Source organism: Homo sapiens, chromosome 8, assembly GCF_000001405.40.
Source record: "Homo sapiens chromosome 8, GRCh38.p14 Primary Assembly".
NCBI lineage: Eukaryota > Metazoa > Chordata > Mammalia > Primates > Hominidae > Homo > Homo sapiens.
The window spans coordinates 49,360,883-49,367,337 of NC_000008.11; the positions used below are offsets into that span (position 1 = coordinate 49,360,883).

General features: G+C 33.1%; 1 annotated feature.

The window, feature by feature from the left end:
* Positions 5,973 to 6,042: a silencer, noted in NCBI's record as "silent region_19185". NCBI's record gives its function as "represses an Ori minimal core promoter by ATAC-STARR-seq in GM12878 lymphoblastoid cells {active_cell/tissue: GM12878}" and the evidence as "EXISTENCE:reporter gene assay evidence [ECO:0000049][PMID:35858748]".

A 6,455-nucleotide genomic window follows, 5' to 3' on the forward strand; every position in this document is an offset into this window, starting at 1 on the left:
ACACTTATCTTTTCTTTGTGTTGGGAACATTGCAAATCTTCTAACTATTTTGAGGTATACAATAAATTTTTGTTAACTATAACTTCCCTACTGTACTATCAAATGCTAGAACTTATTTCTTCTATGTAACTGTTTTTGAACCCCTTAACCAACTTCTCTACATTCTACTCCTTCCCTTCCCATCCTCTGGTAACCACCAATCTACTCTCTACTGTCATGAGATCCAGTTTTTTAGTTCCCACATATAAGTGAGAATATGCAATATTTGTCTATCTGTGCCTGGCTTATTTTGCTTAATGTAATGACTTCCAGTTTTATTCGTGTTGCTATAAATGACAGAATTTCATTCTTTATAGTGAATAATATTCCATATTTGTATATATTGTAAAGAATCCACACTTTCTTTATTCATTTCTCTGCTGATGAATATATAAGTTGATCCCATATCTTGGCCATTGTGAATATTGCTGCAATAAACATGACAATATAGACATCTTTTCAATATAATGATTCCTTTCTTTTGGATATATACACAGTGGTGGGACTGCTGAATTTTATGGGAGTTCTACTTTTAGTTTTCTGAGGAACCTCCATACTGTTTTCCATAATGGCTGTACTAATTTACATTCCCGTCAACAGTATATAAGTGTTCCCCTTTCTCTGTGTCCTTATCAGCTTGTTATATTTTGTTTTGATAATAGCCATTCTGAGCTGAGATGGTATCTCATTGTGGTTTTGATTTGCATTTCCCTAGAGATTAGCAATGTTGAACATATTTTCATATATCTGTTGGACATTTGTGTCTTCTTTTGAAAATTGTCTATTCGAATCGTTTTGACTATTTTAAAAATCAGATTTTTTTTTTTTTGCTGCAGGTTTATTTGAGGTCCTTATATATTCTGATTCTTAATTGTTTGTTAGATGAATGTTTGCATATATTTTCTCTCATTCTGTTGGTTGTGTCTTCACTTTGTTGATTTTTTCCTTTGCCGTGCAGAAGCTTTTTAGCTTGGTGTAAACCCACTTGCCAACTTTTGCTTTTGTTGCCTATGCTGTTGAATTCTTTACCTGAAAAATCTTTGCCCACATCAATACCCTGTAGCATGCCTGCAATATTTTCTTTTGGTAGTTTTATAGTTTCAGATCTTTAATGTAAGTCTTTAATCCATTTGGAGTTGCTCTTGTATATGGTGAAAGATGGGGATCTAGTTTCGTTCTTGAGCAAGTGGATATTCAGTTTTTTCAGCACTTCTTTTTAAAGAGACAACCTTCTTCCACTGTATATGCTTAGTGCCTCTGTCAGAAATGAATTCGCTATAAGTGCATGGATTCATCTCTCAGTTGTTTATTCTGTTCCATTGGTCTATAAATCTGTTTCTATGCCAGTATCATGCTGTTTTGGTTACTATAGCTTTGTAGTATAATTCAAAACTAGGTGATGTGATGCCTCCAACTTTGTTTTTGCTTACAGTTTTGTTTCATTTCTGAGATGGGGTTTCAGTCTGTCATCCAGGCTGGAGTGTAGTGATGTGATCATGGCTTACTACAGCCTCAAACTCCTGGGCTCAAGCTGGGCTGATCCTTCTGCCTCAGCCTCATAAGTAGCTAGAATAACAGGAATATGCCATCATGCCTGGGTAATCTTTTAAAATTTTTTGTAGAGATGGGGTCTTACTATATTGCCCAAGGTGGAGTTAAACTCCTGCGTTCCAGCGATTCTTGATCTCCAAAAGGACTAGGATTATAGGAATGAGCCACTGCACCCAGGTAGTTCTCAGGATTTTATTAGCTATGTGGGGTCTTTTGTAGTTCCATATGGATTTTAGAATTTTTTTTTCTATTTTTATAAAAAAAAGTCATTGGTATTTTGAGAGGGATTGCATTGAATCTGTAGATTGCTTTGGGTAGTATGAACATTTAAACAATATTAATTCTTCCAATCCATGAATATGGGATATCTTTTCATATGTTTGTGTTCTATTTAATTTCTTTCCAATAATTTCCTTTGTGGAGATCCTTCCACTTCTTTGGTTAAAGTTGTTCCTAGGTATTTTATTTTATTTTTCGTAGCTATTAACAATGGGATAGTTTTCTTGATTTCTTTTTCAGACTGATTGTAGTTAGTGTATATACACAGTGGTGGGACTGCTGAATTTTATGGGAGTTCTATTTTTAGTTTTCTGAGGAACCTCCATACTGTTTTCCATAATGGCTGTACTAATTTTCATTCCTGTCAACAGTATGTAAGTGTTCCCCTTTCTCTGTGTCCTTATCAGCTTGTTATATTTTGTTTTGATAATAGCCATTCTGAGCTGAGATGGTATCTCATTGTGGTTTTGATTTGCATTTCTCTAGAGATTAACTACTCATTTTTGTGTTTTGATTTTAAATCCTGCAATTTACTGAATTCGCTTATCATTTCTAAGAGTTTTCTTTTGGTGGAGTCTTTAGTTGATTCTAAATATAAGATTATGTCATCTGCAAACAGGGGTAGTTGGACTTCTTCCTCTCCAATTTAAATGCTCTTTATTTTTTTGCTTGTGTAGTTTCTCTGTTTGCAATATAAATGTTGAATATAAGTGCTGAAAATAAGCATCCTTTTACTTTTCCAGATCTTAGTGGGAGAGCTTTTAGTTTTTCCCCATTAACATACCACAGTATGATATTACATGTGGGTTTTATATATATATATATATATATCCCTTATCATGTTGAACTATGTTCCTTCTATAGCCAATTTGTTGGAAGTTTTCATCATGAAGAGATGTTGAATTTTATCAAATGTTTTCTCCACATCTACTGGAATGACCATATGGTTTTTGTTCTTGATTCTGGTGATGTGATGTATCATGTTTATTAATTTGTATATGTTGAACAATCCTTACATTTCTGAAATGAGTCCACTTGATCATGGTGCATTTTTTAATGTGTTGTTTGATTTGATCTGCTACTATTTTATTTAGGATTTTTCATATATGTTCATCAGAGATACTGTCTTGTAGTTTGTGTATGTGTGTCCTTGTCTGCTTTTCATATCAGGTAAATGGCTTTGTAGAATGAGTTTAGAAGTGTTACTTTTCTTCAATTTTTTGAAATAGTTTGAGTAAAATTGGTATTAATCATTATTTAGACGTTTGATAAAATTCAATAGGGAATCCATCAGGTCCTGGGCTTTTCTTTGATGGGAGACTTTATTATTTCTTTAATCTCATTACTTGTTATTGGTCTGTTCAGGTTTTCTATTTCTTCATGGTTCAATCTTAAGAAATTTTATATGTCCAGGAATGATTCATTTCTTCTAGGTTTTACAATCTGTTGGCTTATAATGTGGCTTATAATTAATTATGCTAGTATCTAATGATACTTTGTTTTCTCTGGTATCAGTTGTAATGTTTTCTTTTGTGTCTGATTTTATTTATTTGAGTTTTCTCTCTTTTTTCATAGTCTAGCTATAGGTTTGGCAATTTTGTTTATTTTTTCAAAAAAAATTTGTTTTATTGATTTTTTAATATTTTTTGTTTCGATTTAATTTTTTATTCTCCAATCTGTTTGTTTGTTTATTTATTTATTTATTTATTTATTTGAGACAAGGTCTTGCTCTATTGCCCAGGTTGGAGTGCAGTGTGCATTGGCACAATCGTGGCTCACTGCAGCCTTGACCTCCCAGGCTGAAGTAATCCTCCTGTATCAGCCTCCCAAGTAGCTGAGACTACAGGCTAGCACAACTATGCCCAGCTAATTTTTGTATTTTTTTTTTTTGTAAAGATGAGCTTTTGCCATGTTGCTTGGGCTGGTCTCGAACTCCTAGCCTCAAGCAATTAACCTGCCTCAGCCTCCCAAAGTGCTAGAATTACAGGCATGAGCCACAGTGCCCCACCTTACTTCTGTTCCAATGTTTATTATTTTTTCTTTTACTAATTTTGCATTTGGTTTGCTCTTGCTTTTCTAGTGCCTAGAGGTGCATCATTAGATTGTTTATTTGAAGTCTTTCTATTTTTTATGTAAGTGTTTATTGCTATAAACTTTCCTTTTAGTAGTAATTTTTCTGTATGTACAAGTTCTGGTTTGTTATTAGTTATTTTAGCTAAGAACATTGCTATCTAAAATAAAATCAAATTGTTTTATTTTTCTGTCAATATTACTGACCCATTATTTCAAAAAATAGTTGATATAGGATGACTCTAGAATAAAGGATAATACTTAAGTGTTTTGGTCCGCATTTCTTCAAATATTTTCTCCCATCATATATATTAATACAGCTCCAATGCAAATCGATAATTCCATATTATCCAGGTAATAGTTTGGGATGCTATTTGTGATAATTCAAGCTTAAAAATTTAAGAAATTTCAAAGATAGATTTTGATATTTGAGCCAATTTATATACAGTCTATTAATTGAGCAGTAATTATTTTAATTGCATGTTACCATAGTAATATTATATATACACACATGTATATTTGTGTGTATATATATGTGTCTATGTATATGTATGTATGTATACACACATATATATACACACATATATACATGTGTGTCTATATATATAGACACACATACTTACTTTATTGATAATTATTTACTGAACCAAAGCAACTTACACTATTCCTTAATTTTTTAATGTTATATCATATAACACTTCATAACATATGTTAAGTTTATATAGTATTCCATTTAAACAATGTTTAAAACAGCTTTTATTTTTAATATTCATGATACTAACACTATAGAGAAGGAGAAAAAATAAAGAAGGAAATAGAATATATATTTTAATTTTTCTGTGGAAATTAGCCACTTTCCCTACAAAACTGATAGTTGTATTGGTAGCAATTGACCAACATCTCTTTGCTCTGGGTTAAAAACTGAATGCAGACCTAAGTGTTTCAGCAGACAATATGAGATGTTTTATATTTTCTCTTACCTTAGAAGATAAGTATCTCTACTCCAAATTATTAGAGGCTTTTTAATAGGAAGTTGATAGGCATCTGGCCTAAGCCATTTTTATATAAAATATAATTTCAAATCCTGTGCTATATGTATGGTTTTCCTACATTTTTGTTTTGCAGATGAATGCAAATACACTCACACACATACAATATTTCTCAATGCATGGCATAAATTTAAAATAAAACAAGAATTTATCAAATTGTAAGTATCATTAACCTATGTAATGTATCCTGATATCCGTACCTAGTTTATTTTCTAAAAGAATTTTGGCCACAAGTCAGCACTGTAATGACAAAATAAATTAATGTAGATGTCCAGAGTGTAATCTGAAAGATGATACCCTCAATAGCACAGTGCCAAACTATACGGACTCCAATATCAGGAGGCCTCCACAGCAACATGTGAACCTCTTCTCTAAAAACGTTACAACAATAGTAATTTTGCCTTTATTACTGTGAACATTTATTTAACATCTAGGATACTGTAGTTCTATGATGATAAAGGCTGTGCCTTTATTTAGGGGGATACTTTATCATTTTCAAAACTTATAAGCACTCAATTAATATTTGTTGAAGGAATCTTTGATTCTTTTCTTTCTCCCACCAACTACATATAATTATTCATTAAATCTTGCCTGTTATTTATTCAAAATATATATGAATCTGTTCTTTTTCTTTCATTTCCAGTATTACCATCCTAATCGACATTATTTTCACTTGTCCATTGCAACTGTTTCCCAAATGATCTTAGTGGTCTCATTCTTGGCCTTTCTCAACTCTTTTTCTAATCATCAGAATGCTATTAAAACATAAAATTGATCTCAAGCACTCCAGTGTCTTTGCACTGCAAGTGCACAAATACCTAAACTATTCAATGTGGCTACTATGTTCAATATAATCTGATTTTTACCTGCATCAGCTAGTTTTTGATCCATAGAAAATCCATTAAAAATTACCCTAGAGCACATTGGCTGAGAACAACATTTTTTGAGTTCACAACACTGTTTTTGCTAAGTTGGGCTGGGTTCACAGAGGAGGCTCTGCTGATCTGACGCAGGTTCATTTCCTCTTGGCTAGGGCTCCCTCCTGCGTCTGTGGCCAGCTGGGGGCTAACTGACTGTGAGCTGGAGCAGCTAGTTTTCCTCCACATGGACTTCATCTTTCAGCGTGGCAGCCAGTCCTTTTCACACGGTTTTCAGTCAGAGGGAGTAGAATTGTGCAAAGCTATGTTTGGAAATGTTACAACACTTCCTCTGTATTCTATGCCCAAAGAAAGTAAAAAGTCAGGCCAGATTAAAGGGTTTAGAAATAGACTTCACTTATTTATGAGAGGTGCTGGAAAGTCACATTGCAAAGCAGCCTGGGCACAGAGAGAGGAATGATCTTACACATTTTTGCAAACAATTTGCTGCATTATCCAAATCTCTTACCTGTTTGTCCCTCACGCTTGACTATCAGTCACCTCTTGCAAACTTGCTTCTGGCCACACTGGCCTTATTTCTATTCTTCCA